The sequence below is a fragment of the Homo sapiens genome, chromosome 1 (genome assembly GCF_000001405.40).
Source record: "Homo sapiens chromosome 1, GRCh38.p14 Primary Assembly".
Lineage (NCBI taxonomy): Eukaryota > Metazoa > Chordata > Mammalia > Primates > Hominidae > Homo > Homo sapiens.
In genome coordinates, this window is record NC_000001.11 from 86045553 (window position 1) to 86066202 (window position 20650).

Sequence of the window (20650 nt, forward strand, 5' to 3'; positions counted from 1 at the left end):
AAAACATAAAAAAAAAAATTAACACACCAATGTATTCAAGTGTAACAGAGTATAGTTAAATGAGATGGCATACAAAATACTTATCACAGTGTTGAGAACTTAAAAAGGGTGATAATAGCAACGGTGATGGCAGTTTCTACTGTTATAACCATTATAAGATTAGCTTCTACGTTCAATGTAAATGCAGGGAAACAAAATGTTTGGCTTATTTTGTATTTCTTGACAGTTTGGTAAGTTTATCTTAATACACTAAAATCTTTAAACTTTAAAATAACTGTATCTCATTTTGGCCAGACGTCATGAAGAAACAATTCATGCCTCTTCTAAGCACTGTGAGTAGAAGACAGAGCAGAAATATCTAGGCAGTAAGGAAAAGGATTCTGGATTTAGATTCAGTGGAGCTTTGCTCAATTACTGATTTTACCACTTTTAACTATCTGATCTGAGCAAGTCTTTTAACATCTCTAAGCTTTATTTTACTCACCTATATTATGGTGACATTAACACTTACTCTATTTTCCCTTCAAAGAATATTGCAAAGCTTGAAGGATAAATGTTACAAAATGATTTGAGTATTCTGGTGAGAGCTGCAGTCCTTTAGTATTATCATTAAGATTTTATTCAGGTACACAAAATTTTAGAAAAGTTGTAATGAAAATCTCACTTTTTATCTTCACAGACTATACTAGCTTAACAAGAAGAACCTCAGGATGCCTCTCTGGACCACATTTTTCTCATTTGTTAAGCAATGGGGTACTGGATGATGTCACAATTTCCTCCCATCTCTGAAATTATTATATTACCTAGTAAAATTCACTTTCCTGGATTTTTTTTAACCTGAAAATATGAGAAGCTGTTGCAAACTAATCTCTGAATTAACAGCTGAAGCACGCATTTTAAAAACCTCCAGAACATGAGATTGAACCTCTACAACATCTGGTCATGTAGAGTAGGTTAAGAGTACTACCATTTGTGTTTTAAGTTCTTCACGTATTTTCTGTGACATTTTAGCTCCTTGCCGTAGAGATAAGGGTTTTCCCACTGGTATAGTGAAAGGGTTAGAAGTGTTCAAAGTTCAGTTATTTTTTAATCTAAATTTTCCTTTATATCCTCAGGTATTATTTGATACACTATTCAAGAGGCAAAAATTAAAATGGAATGATTATAAACAACAACAAAAAGCAAAAAGTATCTTCACATTTTAATAAGTAAGAACACATAACCAGGTTATATTGCTGTAAAATAAACCTCAAAAAACACAAATTAAGATACCTGTCTCCCCTTAAAACCCTTCTTTCCACGGATCCCAGGAATGCCCTAGAATATAGAAAAGAAAAAGGAAATATTTGTTGAATGAATGAATTAGGTACTATAGATCTTTTTCTCCCAATATAAAGCAATAAAGTATGAAAAAGACAAAAACAAATTGTTCTATAAACTGATGTGATATTCAGAAAAGCCTCAATATATTAATTTAACTGAGGCAGCCCCTTTCCTTCTTCAAAACAAAATTCTGCTTTTATTCAGGAATCTATCCCATCTATACTTCCAAATGGGATCTTGACATTTCCCTGGTGATAGCTATTTGTCCAGAGACAGGCATATTACCAAAGTTGGCACAACTAGATGAACACGAAGGTCTTATTTTCCACATCTAAGGGACAACGCCCTCCTCTCTGCCTTCCCCTCTCTATCTGGATATAAACAAGGACACATTTAACCTGTGCACTGGCAATCTTGCAATCATATAGGAAATAAGCCTTAGGGTAAAGACAACATTAGAAAAGGTAAAGCAGAGAGATGAATCTACAGCCCACCTAACCTATGGATTTCTGGTCATGTAAGAAGCAGTAGGGTACAGTACTTAAGTACCCAGGCTTTGGAGCCAGACAAAACCTTGTCCAAATCCTGGGTCTGCTCTTACTTCCTGTATATAGTCTAAGACAAAATACTTCCTCTGTGTGTGCCTCATTTTCTTCATCTATGATGAGAAGAATAACAATACCTATCATTCAATAAATGGTTTTATTTATAAAGAAGTTAATTCATGTATATATACACACATATATATGTTTATTAAAATCTTCATGTATATATACATATATAAATAAAGAAGTTAATTCATGTATGTAAAACCATTTATTAAAATTTTTTATATATATGTACATATATAAAACCATTCAGTAAATCATTTGCTATTTTCATCATCATCATTAAAAATATCTTTATATTTAAGCCAGTTTGAATTGTGGTTTTCTGTTACTTGCAGATTAAAGCATCTTACTTGATACTATCACTTTGAGATTTGCAGACTAAGCAGTCTGTCACAACCATGTAGCTTGAGATTAATAGTACATACAGGTAAGTTAGAAGACATCACTGGCTGAAACAATCCATTCACTTTCAAGTCAACAGTGTTTAAAAAATACTCATGTATCTGATCATCAAAAAAGAGTTCATAGGTGAGCAAGAGGACTCATTTCATTAAGACTTTATGTATATTTACATAATACAAACAATCTTTTTTAAAAAAATAGAATAATTATTTCCTAAATTTTCAGTAGCCTCCCTAAATCTCATCAAGAAGCCAAATAATGCAGACAGAATTATATAAGCATTTTTCATATATATACATGTATATATGTGTACATGTTTCATATGTGTACATATGTGTATACACACAATATGCATGTAATGTACAATATTGACTCCCAGAAATGACTTCTTTCCATTTGTTTTCAGCAATAGTTAGCATTACTCTATCTTATTTTCTTCTGCTTTTTTGTACTTAAACATTTTATAACGTAACACCCTTTTAGCTACATCATTCACAGTTTTAATGAAAATTTTGACATAGCCAAATAATATTAGGACACAGTACCCGTGAGGGGCCCAATATCACAAACTGATCTTGTGTATTTATATGTTAAGACAGGTCTTGATTTTTTTTTTTTTTGAGATGGAGTCTTGCTCTGTTGCCCAGGCTGGAGTGCAGTGGTGCAATCTCGGCTCACTGCAAGCTCCACCTCCCAGGCTCATGCCATTCTCCTGCCTCAGCCTCCCAAGTAGTTGGGACTACAGGCGCCCACCACCAGGCCCGGCTAATTTTTTGTATTTTTAGTAGAGATGGGGTTTCACCGTGTTAGCCAGGATGGTCTTGATCTCCTGACCTCATGATCCACCCGCCTCGGCCTCCCAAAGTGCTGGGATTAGAGGCGTGAGCCACTGTGCCCGGCCAGGTCTTGATATTTTCATATAGACTGCTAAAAATTAGTGAGTGTGATTACAGCAATGTGCCTATTGATGGCCAGTGTCAACACTGGGCTTAAGATCATTAAATCCAAGATGACAACATTTTACAAGGACATATAATTTTGGTTTATTAAATAATTTACAAGAAATAAGCTCATGTCAAAGGATCAGAAAAGGATTGTTATCACGAACAGCAGAGTAATTAACAACGTAAACTGGAACCATTGGGTCAAGAAGTAGCAGATCAATTCTCTGCGTGATCGGTGAGATACATCCTCCGTTAGTTTGCTGTAGTACATGAAGGTTAGGTGGCTTAGTTGTGGAATTATGCTTAAGATGTTTTTTGCTATTGAACAAAACAACTTGCTATGTTCACCAGGGGAAAATCTTTACCTCATCTCACCAAAGATGGCTAGACATTTTGATTGTCATTACAGCATATTTAAACTCTTTGATTATTTCTTCTCTGCAGGGGCATTCACAAGTAATTACAAGAAAATATAATTTAACTCACTCACTGAAAACTATTTATTTGAAAAATTCATTTAGCAATGAATCTGGTTCACTTTCATTTGCAAAAATCACTTGCCAGAAATGAAAATTTTGGCCTGAACTACATTCTTATAATGATAGGGGTGAAGGCTGAATGACTCTCTAATTTCAAATTCTATGACAATCTACTAATATTGTTCAATTCTACTGTTTTCAATTAATACTGGCAATGTAAATGAAGGAATACAAAGATAAATTACTGCATACAGATTGCATATAGCACTGAAAACTAGATATGATGAAGCTGCAATGCCATAACTCCCATAATTAACTTCATTAATCTTTTTAGTATAACAAACCATTTTGCAAAGGTTCTATCTTTACTTATAAGTACCCATATTTATTAACAGCTATCTCCCATTATTAAATTAAACAAAAATATATCTTCTGAGGCTAAATTCTTTACTGTATATTGCTCTCAAAATCAAGACCTGTCAAGAATTTATACTCTTGACATATACTTTTGTAATTCATTATAATGAATTACAAAATAAAAATTTCATAATTAGATATTTTAATATTTTGGTGTATTTTCAAAAATTTGAACTTAAAGTACAATTATATTTCTATCATGCTATATTACTTTCCTTTAACAAAATTCAGTAAGATTTTCAAAAGTCAAATTACATTTCTGGCAGGTGATTTTTCTTCAACCTGGCTTGCTAACTCAGTAAGATTACTTCCCTGACATCTGATTTTATGACCCCCATTGTACATTATCACAAGTATATCACTTTAGAAATACTATTTGAAGGGAATGGACTTACCCGTTCTCCTTCAGGTCCCAGTTGTCCCGCTTCTCCAGGAGAGCCAATAAAACCCTTAAAACAAGAAAATAGTCTGTATATTAGTTCATTTGAATATTCTCCCCATAAGTGATTCTGAATAGAAGTACTTAAAATTTTATTTGTAGTAGTACGAAATTACAAGACTTACAAGTGCGAATAACTTCCCCTCACCTAATTGCTTTTCTTCCAGAAGTTAAAGATCAATCTTCCCATTAAAAATTATACAAAATATAATTTAAGAAATGGTGGCTATTAAAAATAAGCCCAAATAATTTCCTTCACTAAATTTTATAGCGGGCAGAAAATATATGTATATGATTAGCTAAAATTTAAGACAGAATGGAGGTATCAAAAGAATATAAGAATATAAGTATAAGAAGTACAGTGGAGGAAGAGATACATTTCAATGTGGCAGGAGGCAAAGGCAATCAAAGAAGGCTTCAAAGGAGATTACCACTTGAGATAGGTCTAGAGAATAGGTAAAATCTTGGTAAATAGAGACATAATAGGAAGTCTTTGTTAATGGTAACAATTGGGGAGTGTTTGTAAATAGTAATTGATCACATTTTATACATAATATACTTTGTGTGTAAGATGGTTTTATATGTTAGCTTTATGTGTAAGACCCACCCTGCCTTAATAAAGATTCCAATCTGATCTGAGAAACAAGGGATACATATAAATAACAATGCAAGGCACTTTATTCTAATGTAACTTAGTTATATCTCACTTGTGGGAAATAACCCATTTCATCAATTTTACAGATAAAGTGTATGGTAGTTTAGGGGCTAGATTAAGGAGAGTCTTAAATTTCAGAATAAAAATTTTAGACTGTATATATTAGACAAATGGAAGCTACTGATTTTAGGGAGTATGGTAATGCACTGATGTTATGCTGTATTTCTAAAAGATTAATCTGTTGATAGGATACAGCATACAGCCATGACAGGAAACACTGAATATAGGCCAACCTGTTAGAAGGCTCTTTAAGTGGTCTAAATTTGAAGGTTTACGGGTCCAGATCACTGGTTCAACAAACATTATTTTAGTAGCCATTTTGTGTCTATAAAGATTTGGGGTTTATAAAGATGCATATGAAAATCAATGCCCTCAAAAAGTACATAGTTTATTGGGAAAGAGGGTCATACAAATAAATAACTGTAACATCATTTGATAATTGTTACATGATTATGCAATAGGTGATATGACAAATAGACAATGGGAACTTTGGAAGCAGAATGACCAACTTTGCCTAGAGAGAAGATTAATGGTGCTTTGCTTTACTGAGGAAGCAACATTTGAGCTAAGTCCTGAAGAAAAGAAAAGGCAGGGCTAACAATGTGCCATCAGTCAATCAATCAGAATGAAATGACACAGCATTTGCAAAGAATTGCAAATAGTCTGTGTGATTGGTGGGCAAGAGGTGAGTTTGGAAAGGGTGGCAAGGGGTCATGTCATGAAGAGTCTTTTTTGTTATGATGGAAAGTCTGCAATTTACACTGTGAGTCATTAAAAAAACTTAAGACACAGTTTTCATATAATCATATTTTCACTTTATAAATTCACTTGGATTACAGTGGGTCACATAGGTCTCTATCTGTCTATAAGAATCAAGAGAAAGATGACTCTAAAGTTTACAGCTGGACTGATAGACAAATGTTAACCACTGATAGAAATATGGAAAACAAATAGAAAACCTGAGTTTGATATAAAGAGGATGAGTTTTGTTAGTTATTTTGAATTTGTGATTATAATGAGATATTCAAATGTAATTATCATGGCAGGGAGTTGGGAGATGTGGGGTTCATAGAAAAAGCTCATAGAGAAAAAAAGTCTGAAGGACAGATATGTCTGAAGTCTTAAAGACAGACTAAAGCTTTGAGGAGAAAATATTAGGAAAAATTATCACTGATCAGACAGAGGGTGAAATAGGGGTGTGAGAGAAGAGTAGTTTTATGGATGCAGAGAAAAGCCAAAGTTTAAAAGAAATTGAAGTAGAGATACAGTAGGTCAATTTTACTAAGTTCTAAATAAAGGTTTCTTATTTTGAATCACAGAATGGGTGATTTTTCAGAGTAAATACTTCCATAATAACAAATACTGAAGAATTCAAGCATTAAAAAAGTAATTGTTATTTCTATACCCATTCCAGCATTATTCACAATTATCAAAAGATAGAAGCAACGTAAATGTTCATTAACAGATGAATGAATAAACAAAATGTTGTATATACATGAAATGGAATATTATTCAGCCTTAAAAAAGAAGGATGCTGATAACTGCCACAACATAGATGGACCTTAAAGACAATTACGCTAAGTGCAGTAAGCCAGTCACAAAAGGACAGATAGTGTATGATTCCACTTGCATGATGTACTTATAGTAGTCAAATTCATACAGACAGAAAGTAGAATGGTGGTTGCCAGGGACTGGGAGTGGAGAACGGGGAATTGTTTATTGGGTACAGAGTTTCAGTTTGGGAAGATGAAAAAAGTTTTTAAGATGGATGGTGGCAATGGTTGTACAACAATTGGATGTACTTAAGGCCACTGACCACATACTTTAAGAGGGTTTATACATGGAAAAAATTTTATGTTATATATATTTTATGTTCTTTATTTTAAAAAGAAAGAGATAAATGTCTCAAGAATCATATCTAAGTTGCCTGGAATAAAACTTTTGGAAGGTTTTATTTCCTTAGAATTTAGTTAAGTATTGCCATTAAAAAAGTTGCCACCATCCATCTTGAAAACTTTTTTAGGTGTTTTTCCTTGTCAAAGGTGCCTGAAATTGCCTTATGTTCCACAGATTGTATGAACAAGCAAAAATTAAAAGAAAAGAGGGAGAGAGAGAATTTGTTCCTTTATACATAACTTTAATAAAGTGAAACATCTATGATTTTCTTACTTGAAAGCCAAGCAGTTGGAGAATGGGAAATGTTTCTTTTAAAGTGAATCATACAAAAGTATTTCTGATACTAGAGCATTTAGGATTATGATGACAAGCTGTGTACATTTTCAGAATCATCTGTTGATGACTTCAAGTGTAAAGTCAGCTAACATTTGTTTTAATATATACAACAGGAGTTTTGGTTATAAATAAAAAGAAAAGACACTCTAACTGGTATATACTTATCAGTGAACTAAATAATCAATTGATAACTCAAGAACTGAAGTCAGAACTCCAACATAGCCTGTACAGAGTGTAAAGGGAACATTTTACAATTAGATATTTTAAATAGAATAATGTTATAAGTAATTGCTTAGGTGTTTCATAGAGGTTTCTTGATCATCATTACACTGATTCTAACAGAAATAAGATGTCAGCAGTACCAAAGAAACCACAGAGTTGAGGTCATTCTCAAAATACCACCATGAAACTAGAGTTTACCGTGTAATGAAACAAAGAACATTAAAAATAATAACACATGTTTTTGCTTTTTGGTTTGAAGGTTGTAGATCCAGTTAGAAGCAATTTTGTGTCACCAGCAGGACCACCAGAAGGTCGGGAGAGGTTCTATATACTTTTACTTTTGGGGGCAGCTAGCACATTATTACATAAGGAAATGCCAAAGAAGGGTTTAAAAATTATGATGTGTTTTAAACATTTACATTTGACAAAATATTTCTGCTAATACCAAAAAATACCAACAAATAACTGCCAATGAAAAGCTAATTTATCATGATTCATGAAAATATTCATGTACAATGCATAACATTTAGAATTTACCAGTAACAGGACACAAATTAAGTGAAAAACATGTATCCTATGAGTGTGTTTCTATGATTTTTGCCTTTTTAACTAGATTTTAAGTTAATGCTAAAAATCTATACTTGATAAAGCTGCACCCTACTACCCACTGATCTTCGACAAAGTCGGCAAAAATAAATAATTGGGAAAGAATACCCTGTTCAATAAATGGTGCTGGAAAACTTGCTAACCATATGCAGAAGAATGAAATTGGACTCCTACCTCTGACTGAGTTAATATATAAAAATTAACTCAAGATGAATTAAAGACTTAGTATGTAAGACCTCAAACTATAATCCTAGAAGAAAACCTAGGAAATACCCTTCTGGACACCGGCCTAGGCAAAGAATTTGTGACTAAATCTTCAAAAGCAACAAATGTAACAAAAAATTTGGCAATTGTAACCTAATTAAACTAAAGGTCTTCTGCAGAGTAAAAGAAACCATCAACAGAGTAAATAGACAACTTACAGAACAGGAGAAAATATCTTCAAACTATGCATCTGACAAAGGACTAATATCCAGAATCTACAAGGAACTTAAACAAATCAATAAGAAAAAAACAAATAACTTTATTAAAAAGTGGACAAAGGACATGAATAGACACTTCTCAAAAGAAGACATATAAGCGGCCCCAAAACATGAAAAAATGCTCAACGTAACTAATCAGAGAGATTCAAATCAAAACCACAAGGGGATACCATCTCACACCAGTCAGAAGAGCTATTATTAAAAAGTCAGAAAATAACAGATGTTGATGAGGTTTCAGGAAAAAGGGAACACTTATACACTGCTGGTGGTAATGCAAATTAGTTCAGCCCCTGTGGAAAGAAGTTTGGAAATTTCTCAAAGAACTAAAAATAGAATTACCATTTGACCCAGCAATCTCATTACTGGGTGTATACCCAAAGAAAAATAAATAATTCTACCAAAAACACATCTGCACTCATATGTTTATTGCAGTACTATTCACCATAGAAAAGACATGGAATCAACCCAAGTGCTCATCAACAGTGGACTGCATGAAGAAAATGTGGTACATATAGACCATGGAATACTACAGTGCCATAAAAATGAACAAAATCCTATCCTTTGCAGCAACATGGATGCAGATGGAGGCCATTATCCTAAGCAAATTAACACAGAAACAGACAACAAAATACTGCATGTTCTCACTTATAAATGGGAGCTGAACATTGGGTATACATGGACACAAAGACAGGAAAAATAAACACTATAGATTCCCTAAGGAGGGAGGGCCAGAAAAAGGCAAGGGTTGAAAAACTACCTATTGGGTACTATGTTCACTGCTTTGACAACAGGATCACTAAAAGCCCAAACCTCAGCATTACACAATATACCCATGTAACAAAGCTGCACATATACCCCTAAATTTCAAATAATTTTTAAATCTACATTTGAGACCCTTTATGAATGTGAAATTCCCTCCTTATTCCAATCACACTCCCAAGTGTGAAACCTAACTAAAGTGTGAAAACTTAACTAAAAGTACAACTTAAGAGGGTTACAGCCTAGAAAACAATTTTCAATACAAATGGGAAAAGGAAAAAACAAAAGGATGTATAATACAATGCAAAAATGGTACATGGAAGAACACAGTTATATGGATCACTGAAGCAAGATGACAAAACGCAGTAAGAGTAAGTTGTACAGTGCCAAATATATTTTGCATATATTCCTTGGAGTTACTAGTTATTGAACAGAAGACACTCTCAAATTCAAATAATAATTATAGAATCTATATAGTAAATACATGCATACACTATGCCCTATACCTTAAGAATGCTCATCTTGTTTAATTTTTCACAACTACCTGAAAAGTAAGTTTCATCATGACCATTTAATAAATAATGAGATAAGAAAAATGAAGCACAGAGAGACTGAATAACATCAAAAGTCACAAAGCTAGTAAAAGAAGTATTAAGGGGCTGAGCACGGTGGCTCACACCTGTAATCCCAGCACTTTGGGAGGCTGAGGCAGGCAGATCACAAGGTCAGGAGTTCGAGACCAGCCTGGCCAATATGAATCCCCATCTCTACTAAAAATACAAAAATTAGCTGGGTGTGGTGGCAGGCGCCTGTAGTCCCAGCTACTCAGGAGGTTGAGGCAGGAGAATCACTTGAACCTGGGAGGTGGAGGTTGCAGTGAGCCGAGATCACACCACTGTACTCCAGCCTGGGCCATAGAGTGAGACTCTGTTTCAAAAAAAAAAAAAAAGCCTATCTAACTCCACAGCCCATGTTCTTGACCACTAATCTCTTCTGGCTTCCCAAATCCAAGTCAACATGTGTTTTCAGTGCAATTTCTAATAAAAAGTACATGACTTTTCCTCATTATGTGATTACTTAATGCAAGAACAAAGACAGCATGAGCTCATGAAAAGAGGTCAGGGCTAAAGGTGAAAAGACATTGGTTCTAGTTCTAGCCAGCTATAACTTTGCCAGATCAAGTAAGTTCCTTAGCTTACTATTTTTCTCATCAGTAAAATGGGGATGACAGGCCTGTTCTCCTACATCACAGGGCTGATGGCAAAATAAAAGAATAAAATACATATGAAAGTATTTGGAAATGTTTAATACTTTTTTAAAATGTAAGACATCATTATTGCACATATTGTTTAAATACCTTATGCTTTACTTCTTTTTAAAAGGCATGTTAGGCCGGGCCTGGTGGCTCACTCCTGTAATCCCAGCACTTTGAGAGGCTGAGGCAGGCAGATCACAAGGTCAGGGGTTTGAGAGCAGCCTGGCCAACATGGTGAAACCCTGTCTCTACTAAAAATACAAAAATTAGCCTGGTGTGGTGGCACGTGCCTGTAGTCCCAGCTACTTGGAAGGCTGAGGCAGGAGAATCGCTTGGACCCGGGAGGCAGAGGTTGCAGTGAGCCTAGACTGTGCCATTGCACTCCAGCCTGGGCAACAGAGTAAGACTCTGTCTCACCAAAAAAAAAAAACACAAAACAAAAACAACAACAACAAAAAATATTGCATTTTAGATAATATAAGGCACAAATGTAGACTTTGAAAAATATTTGGCTATTAAAAATAAAGAATTTTAAAAACATATTTTTTATTTTATACACTACATATATGATATGGTTTGGATGTTTGTCCCCTCCAAATCGCATGTTAAAATATGATTCCTAATGTTGGAGGTGTGGCCTGGTGGGAAGTGACTGGATTGGGGGGCGGATCCCTCGTGGATGGTTTAGCATCATCTCCTTGGTGACAAGTGAGTTCTCAACTCACATGAGATCTGGTTGTTTGAAAGTGTCTGGGACCTTCCGTTTTTCTCTCTTACTCCCACTCTCGCCTTGTGACATTGTCTGCTCTCCCTTCACCTTCCGCTGTGACTATAAGTTTCCTAAGGCCCTCACAAGATGCAAATGCTGGAGCCATATCTGCATGGACTGCACAACTATGAGCCAATTAAACTTCTGCTCTTTATAAATTACCCAGCCTCAGGTATTTATAGTGATGCAAAAAGTGACTAATACAATATAATATAGAAATGTTTATTTTGCTTCCTTAGTGAATAAAAATGGCTAACATTTCCTTTAATGGTTTGGGAGTGAAATGGGATGTTCTGGATACAATAAGGTTATTTCTTTCTTTGTAGATATTTCTTTACTCCTGACAGTTTTTGTATAATAAAATGATCTCAGCCTTGAACTACTATGAATTTCTTTACCTCTTCATATTTTTTCCATGATGACTTCCTTAGGTCTGTATCCATTCATATATAAATAACACTACAAATGTTTACAGAGCACATTCTAACATGCCAGACATTATGCTATGGAAATAAATATAAAATAATGATGCAAAACCTACCACAATGAGACTGTTTTCTGTCATCATAGAAGTGAAAGCAACTGCAGTAAGCAAGTATATTCAGGCTACATTTGAATTAAATTCAAAGCTACTAAGAGAGTGTAAAAATGCTAAGTGTTTTATATATTTCATTCTACTTTTAGGCAAGCATGCTTAACAGAATGATGGAAATGCCTACTTACTTGTGCACCTTTAGGACCTGGATTACCTTCTGGTCCAGCTAAACCCTGGTGTAAACAAAAGACATTGTCATCATACTACAGTACTTTTTAAAGAGTTAATAAATAGATTAATAAAAAGGCCATATAAAGAGCTATCATTTTCAAAACTATAGAATTCAGAACTCTGTATAACTAATGAAGATTACCAATGTTCAAGGAATTTTAGAATTTCTGAATCAAAAGAGGCACTGGAAATAATCTATACACAATATATTTTAGATATATAAATAAAGTACATTAACACATTGTCAGATTTTTAAAATTTTTTTCATTACATTATTTCTCATTGGAAGACTGTGTTGTTTTAAAACATTTCTAATTAACTTATTCTAAAAGATAGGCCCATAAATTTTTTTTAAAATTTATTTTAAACTTTAGATCAATGTCCATATATTTACATATTCATGTTTTATATTTATTATATAACATATATTATCACTTGAGAGTAAGAGTCTAATATAGAGTACCTCTAAGTGTTTTTAAAGTCCTAAAAAATGGAATTTTGTTAACAATTTTTTTCTTATTTCCCTCATTCTTGAGAATAAAAAAGATAAATGTAACTTTATACATTTAATTAATTTTAGAAGTAATCAATTCATGAAAACTTATGAAAGAAAGCTTGTTCTATTATTAATCTACATGAAGTACAGAAAGTTAGAAATTATAAGGGAATACATTTAAAATGATTAGAATGCATTTTAAAAATAGTATACAAATAACTGAATTCAGTTCAGATAAAAGTGTTTGGTAGTGGTATACTGTTTCTCAAATTTTTATAACTGTGTTATTAAAAAATGATGTTTATTACAGAGAGTCTTAACTCTTACTATTACTTCATTTTGTTCAGTGACAGTATTGTAAAATCACAATCAGGACTGTTTTAAGAACTTATTAACACTTGTGCATTTTAATTTTGAAGGTTCCATTGTACATCACATCAAACATATTTAAAATCCCCCTTCCAATTTTAAATAAAACTTTCTGAAGAAAAATTGTAATGGATTTCTACAACTTTGATTTTGAAATTATTTCTCTATGAGTTATTCATTATTTAATAAAAAAACTATTTGAACATTAATTCTCAAAATCAGAAATACAATGTATTAATAAATAGGAACACAAAGAGAAAAGTCTAAATATAGTTACTGCACCTGCCTGCCAGGGTAACCGGGTGAACCAATATTACCAGCAAATCCTGGAATTCCCTGAAATAATAAATAAAATGAACAGTATAGCAAAGCCAAAGGAAACAAATTTGGTATATTTACAATACACAAGCTTGGAAATAATTTTTCCCCATAAAAATACGGAGTCCTACACATGGCTTATGTAACTGAAATCACCTACGTGAAGGAAAATGGACAAAAATTGCTAAATAAAATCAGTAAACTATTAGATTAGGGCCCTAAATGATATATGATCATTAATAATCATAAATCTAGGATGGAAAAATCCATACTAAAACAGACATTTATTCTAGAGGAAGAGCTGGTATATTTCTTAATTACCAGTAACTTTTTTACCAGTAGATTGAATTCTTTCTTGTTTCGATCATCCTACAACACTCCTTAACAGTCTGAGCATGAGCCCCAGAAGACTAAGAGGGGCAGTAAACCACAAAACCAACCTCTACTTCTTTCCTAAAGTAAACTTAACCTTACAGTGAGTCTGATTAAGTAAATGAATATTAAGTGGCAAATACCGTTATCATGACATGGGTCTGATCCAGTAAATTTGAATGGTGCTGTGGACTGAATGTTTGTGTGCCTCAAAATTCATGTTAAAATCCTAACCCTGCTGATAATGCCTAACAGCATTAGGAGGTGGCTCTTTGGAAGGTAATTAGGTTGGAGCCCTCATGAATGGGATAAATGACCTTATAAAGAGGCCATGTGAGAATACAATAAAAAGTCAGCAGTCTGTAATCCAAAAGATAGCCCCCACCAGAACCTAACCGGGCTGGCATGCTGATCTCAGACTTTCAGCCTCCAGAATTGCGAGAAATTTCTGTTGTTTATAAGCCACCCAGTCTATGGTCTTTTGTTATAGCAGCCCAAACTGACTTAGACAGATGGTAAACTCCTTTGGAATTTGCAATCTGTATTCTTGATTTAAAACAAGGTTTGCTCAGGGAAGGCTGATAGATGGAGACCCAAAGGCTTAAGAAAGGAAAACTGCTACAGAACTGGGTGAAAAAGTGAGACAAAATATTATAACTTTTTTTTTAAAAAAGACTCTTTTTCATTGATACATCATTCATTCCTTCATTTACTCATCAGTTTATTCAGAGTTTGGGTCTATTAAATAATTCTTGACACAAGGAAATGTCAGAAGAAAGTGTGTTGAGCTGATGACAACAATGTTTAAGTTGGCTAGATTTCTTATTTATCACCTAAAATTTCTTTCCTGTTTGTTTATAAATGATATAATGGAAGATAATTGCACTTTGTCCTTCTGCTCTGAAGTAGATAGAAGAGTGTTACCTTCACTTTAAGTACAGATATGCTAAAACTTCTAAAAATTTGGAAAATCTAGAGAAAGAACAGACCAAGGAAATGAAAAATAGAGGATAATAGTTGAGTTTCTTCTCTCTACTTTTTTCAGAATTCATCTCTCACTTTTTTCCCTCTCATTTCTATCTCTCATTTCCTCTTCCCTTCCCTTGATCAAAATTAACATTTACTGAGCACTTTTTATTTGCTAAGCGTTTTACATCTATGAGATACACTTTTCTTCATTCTACATTTAAAGAACCTAAGATACACAGAAGTATGACAATGGACAACTGAAGAGAATGTGAATAAACAATGGCCTTCTGAGGATTACAGAAGAAATTCTTGTCTATATGTAGAGAGATTATATCCTATGAATTTCAGAAACCATATGTATGTATTAAATGTTCCCCTATTGATATTAAATATTATATATTTACATAATATTTTATTCCTATAACATTTATTGAGCACTTATCATGGGCCAGGCACTATTTCAAGTATTTTATAGATATTATCTTATTCAATCTACTCAAAAACCCTATAAGATAGATATCTTTATTCCCATATGAGAGATGAGAAAAAATGAGACATAAGGTGTTTATGTCACCAATGGGAGGATACTTAGCTAATAAGTAGGAAGTCAGGAATTAAATCAGCAAGTCTAATTCCAGAGACCACCATTCAAAGGCCCGTCTCCCTAGTGTGAGTTTGAAGTGCAAAAAACATCCAATAGCACTCCAAGGAAAGTCCTCTAATTATGAGATTTGCTCTAGTATATTTACAACCACCTTCCTATATGCCCCATCCAATTCCAAAACACATAGGCCCACATTCTAGAGATTCACAAAACCTTATATTTAGGTATGCCAACAGAAAGGAGTAAGACAAATGTAAAAGGCTGTTTTTATTCTGTAGGCCACTATCTATCTGGCTAATGAAAACCACCATCCCTTTTCCATTCCTTTCCTAGTCAAATTAAGTTAACTAACCTCGATAAAAAGTCAATCTGTTATAGAACATAAGTGAAATCCTATTTCGAATGGATTGTCACAGAGGGTGTTAAAGCAACATGTAGAGATCTAGCTAACACATTTTAGCTATGCAGAGAAAGACACAAAAGAATTCCACTCAATGTCTAAGTTCTGCTATACTAGAACAGCAGTAAACAAAATAAACAAGTAAGACTTCAGCATAATCTTTATATGGCATAAACGTATTCTGAGCCAACCACACCCTAGAATCACTGAGACAACCACAGAAACTCAAAAGAAACTCAAAACAAATATCATGACTTAATTCACTCTGCATTTAAAGATAGATTTTTTTAAAAAGTTGGCTCACTCAGATCTGCAGATTGGATGGAGTAATAGAGATACAGTTATATCAACAGCCCCTTGAGAAAACAGGAACAGAAAATTAGGAAGCCTGCCCTAATCTCACTTAAAATACACATTCTGAGTCAGTTAGACTTCATTCAGAATTCCGGCACTGCTCCAGCACTGCTACTATAGTTTCTCTGTTTTTTCATTAGTAAAATAGAATAACAGCACTCATTTTGTGGATAAAATAGAACAATGCGTAGAAATATATTTAAAAGTGGAAGTAACTGTAATAACTCTTAGTATTGGTGACATTAAGTTAATTAACATATGTAAAACTGAATAATTATACTACTAGAAGTTGTAGTTAATAGTAATATAGTTTGGCAAATAATAAGGGCTGTAAGTAAATGACAGCTCTTATTACTAGAGCTCACATAAATAATATAATTGCCTTTCCAAATGTTTGCTGAACAATTTGAAGATATTTACAAATTTTCAAGACAAATGTCTTCCAGCAAGTCAGCTATGCTCCTCTGAATGTCCACAGTATTTTCACAATTAAAATGCAAAATTATTTTAGCTGTTTCTCATAGTTAACACAAATTTTGCCTGTTTTTTTTTTCTGGAAACAAATAGAATAGAAAGGAAGAACTGACTACAATATACATTTTCTAACCTTTAAAATTGGTTTTAGACTGTTCTAAAAAGTATATTACCCTCAGAGATAATATATACACCACCAGTACTAGTTTATGGAGCAGTTTTGAGTGAACTCGTCAGTAATGACACATGGCCAATTTTTCACTTGTGAAGTATCAGGTTTCCTCCATTGGAATCCACGTTTCTGCCAAAGCAGTAACCTACAATTTTTTTCTCCCCAGGGACTAATCCCACTCACCCTTCTCATCTTTTTCTCCCATAAATGCTCAAATGCTTTTCAGTACATGTTTGATTTGCAGGAAACTGATATTACATGTGTTAGAGATACATATATCACTTCGCTTGCCATGTCTAGTAATTAGCAATCTTGAAAAGTTGTGCTTCAGGGACTGAACAGAGTGTACTGTCTAACTTAACATGAATGAAAGGGAAAATTGGCTTTGTTTCTTCATTTATAGCTTTCCCTCAGGTACCAACCATCACATTTCTTCCTGGATCTCCCTTTAGGGTTTCCTGAGTCTCTGTGCTGATTCTTTAATAACGGTATCCATCACCTTAGTCAGTTTCTAATATCTTACCCTTTTCACTGTTATATTCATATTATATTTTCAATATAGTACACACCATAAGACATATGACTTTATTTTTTTCTGTGACATAATGATATATTATTTTCTGATGAGAGAAAAGCAATAACATGATCAAAAACTAAATAGTTCCAAAACTATTTTGACTTTTAAATATTGTGTATGTGTATTATGGACAATGATATATGTACCATTCTAATTTGGACTGTTATTGAAATTTATTTGCATTTCCTCAGGAAAAGGTCAGGGAACAAACAGCTATGGATTAGGCTTTAGTGAACTGGTAAGTTCCTGACATTGTACAAAAAAAATTAAGTCTCTCTCTCTGTGTGTGTGTGTGTGTGTGTGTTTGTATGTGTATGGATATGTATATTTTCTGGGAAAGGATTCATAGTATTTATGAGACTCTCAAAGGGGTCTGTGAACTACAGAAGTTTAAGAGCTACTAGTCTGAAACATATGGGGCAAAAGTAAAAAATGATTAACAGTGAAATATTATGTTATAGTTTTTTAAATAAAAAGATCTACAGCTAATCAATTAAAAGGTTGTCCTGCACTAAACAGAGTAAAAAATCACTGAGAAGAAAAATTGAAAAAATGGGGGAAAATAATCTCTCAAAGGAGTTCTCTAACATGTGTCTTTTTCACACATGATACAAGTCTTATAAAGGAAGTACCTACTTGTTCACCTGGAAGTCCTGGGAGTCCAGGATGTCCTTTGAGACCCTGTAAAAGAATAAGTGGAGACATGCTATGAAAAGTAAACTCATATAAGCCAAATAACGAAACATAGGTTGCAAGTTGCCTTATATCCCAACTTTTGGTTGCCTCATCAATACAAATTTAATTGTTACTAATTTATTTCTTATTAAATTTAATCTTCTTTATTTAATAAGAATTACTTTTTTATTAAATAAAAAATTAATTCTTATTAATAATTTAATCTTGCATGTTATTTTAATGACTTGTTATTATCAACTAAAATGGTAGCATAGTACTGAATAGAGACTAAAGCACAGTATCTTTTATAAAAGGCTCATATCTAGCAATGGATATGTTAAGTTTGCTGAAGCTTTTAAAAAGTTAGTTTTAGTTGAATAGTGCTAAGACAAATGGCCTCAGACATAATCTGTTTGTAATTATTGAAAAACTGGATCATATCCAGGCAGTTCCTCTAACCCAAATCATTGTCATAACACCCCATGAATGAGGTAACTCAAAAAATCATGAGGCTGCTTACAGGTTCATCAAAAGGGGTTCTATAAAGTTGTCTAGGGAATTAGTAACAAAGAATATTTTCCAAATAATAGAAGCAAAAGAAAATCTTAATCTCTATAAATTAACACCCAAAGCTATAAAACAGACAATATCCTTCTTCCTCAAGAAAGATATAGGAGCAAAATGAAGGAAACTAAAAGAAAGGATGGCAAGAATGAAATAAAGAAAAATTTTGGAGCTTATTTGTACAGTTCTACATAAAAATCAGTGGTTTGATCTACTGTTTACCAAAGGATTTTGGTGCATATAAAGAACAAAAGAAATTCCTTTTCTTAAGGACTTAAAATATAATTCAAAAGCCTGAAATAAATCATAGTTTATGAATATCAAAAATTTCCAATTAATATACTGCAAACTAAAGACAAATTTCCTGGGTTTCAGAATATAGCCTAATGGAGTGAAAGAATTACTCAGTATTAATCACTGAGGGTTTATCAGAAGAGATGAATTCGGATTAATGGATTAGAGAAGGGAATGACGCTTTGGTTGAAAAACGTCATTTAGAAGAGGTGCCTATTTGAAAACTAAAGGAATGATTTCAACAGCTTTTGCGATGTTAAACTTAAAACAGTTTAACTGTTTTTACATTTTTAAAGGGAGTTCAAGATTAGCCTAATTACATAACATATTACATATTGTGCTCAGTTGCCCAAATGTTTACACAAAATTCCACAAGTAAAAATATCCACAAAGCTAAGTTTTTTCACTTTTTACAACAGGAGATAAGAAACATCCTCAGCGCTAAGACAGTGGTGGTGGCTCCCTGGGATGAGGCAGCAGCTCTAGGAGGGTGTGAGCTGGAAGTTTCCTGGAGGATGACAAATAAAGAGCCAGGGTAGGAGGCTCATAGGTTACAGAGACTCTGCCATGAGCCTATTTCCTTTTCCTATTTTTTTAAAGTGTGTGTTTATTTATTTACTTATTTTAAATTCTGTGAATCCTTGAGCCTAGCTACATGCTTGATTTTCTTTGGCCAACACCTGTTTTTCAGATCAGAGTTAGTTTCCTCCCTAGCCTATAATGAAACAAAATGCAATCGTGGCACAATTTTATTTTAGCTTATTTTCCCCAAATCACTCCATAATAGTGAACTATGTGTATATATGTTAATCATGGTATCTTTTTTATGCACACTTCTCTTTAAAGGGATTCTTCTTCATTCAGAGACCCTGACAAGGTGGCAGCACCATGCAGTCATGATCTGTTTTTTATGAACTTACTCCTTCCCCACCTCAGCCCCAGGACTTGACAGTTAATCTAAGGGAGGACAATATAAGTCAGGCCAGTAGCCTATAAAATGACTTGGAATAAAGAGTTTTATTTAAATAAAAACAAGCTGGGCCAGGCAAATGGCATTCCTGTAGTCCAGCTACTCAAGATGCTGAGGTGGGAGGGTTGCTTGAGCCCAGGAGCTAAAGTCCAGTCTGAGCAATATAGCAACCTCTAAAAAAAAAAAAAAAAAAGAGAGAGACAAGCTGGGCCAATAAAAATCTCTTTTTTAAAAAAATGAAGTTGATTAAAACAACAACAATAGAAAAATGCAAGTACTTAACAGTGGGGGTAGGAGGGAGCTGGAAAGATTCACAAAGAAAGACTAAGAGGAAGAGTAGGGTCGCTGAGATGCTACAGGAAGCCAAAGTATACACAAAAATTAAAATTGAAATTATGTTAAGACAGTTGTCAGAGGACAAGATAACACAAAAAAGCAGATGCAGAGAAAGTAGATAAGCACTGGTAGAAAAGTACAACAAAAGATTCACAAACTAATGCTGCTAAGATAAGCTGCTTTGAATCAGTGTGTATGTCAGACCAAGTCATATTACAGTACCTAGTTTTAGATTCCATGGGATCCCTGTTTCCTTATTGCTGCAGACAGGATTGAAATAACTCA

The 20650-nt window shown here is 33.6% G+C and overlaps 1 protein-coding gene across 20 annotated transcripts in view, besides 1 other annotated feature; it reads right to left on the bottom strand.

The window, feature by feature from the left end:
• The window catches only part of COL24A1 (collagen type XXIV alpha 1 chain), a 427752-nt gene that overhangs the window by 316320 nt on the left and 90782 nt on the right, over positions 1-20650 (bottom strand). For 18 of the 20 annotated variants that reach the window (NR_146340.2, NR_146342.2, NR_146344.1 and 15 more), the window contains 5 exons: positions 18163-18207; positions 13569-13622; positions 12379-12423; positions 4572-4625; positions 1273-1317 (listed from right to left, as the gene is read on the bottom strand). Coding sequence is in view for 13 of the 20 variants with exons in the window: in XM_047417004.1 (XP_047272960.1) it covers positions 1273-1317; positions 4572-4625; positions 12379-12423; positions 13569-13622; positions 18163-18207 (243 nt within the window). In the remaining 7 variants the exon portion in view is untranslated. The remainder of the gene's footprint in view (positions 1-1272; positions 1318-4571; positions 4626-12378; positions 12424-13568; positions 13623-18162; positions 18208-20650) is intronic. The other 2 variants (NR_146341.2, NM_001349955.1) reach the window with 1 other exon arrangement.
• Positions 11131-11300: an enhancer, noted in NCBI's record as "experimental_9414 CRE fragment used in MPRA reporter constructs". NCBI's record gives its function as "activates a minimal promoter by MPRAs in K562 erythroleukemia cells, with activity observed for both the introgressed and non-introgressed 1:86522451 variant alleles {active_cell/tissue: K562}" and the evidence as "EXISTENCE:reporter gene assay evidence [ECO:0000049][PMID:34662402]".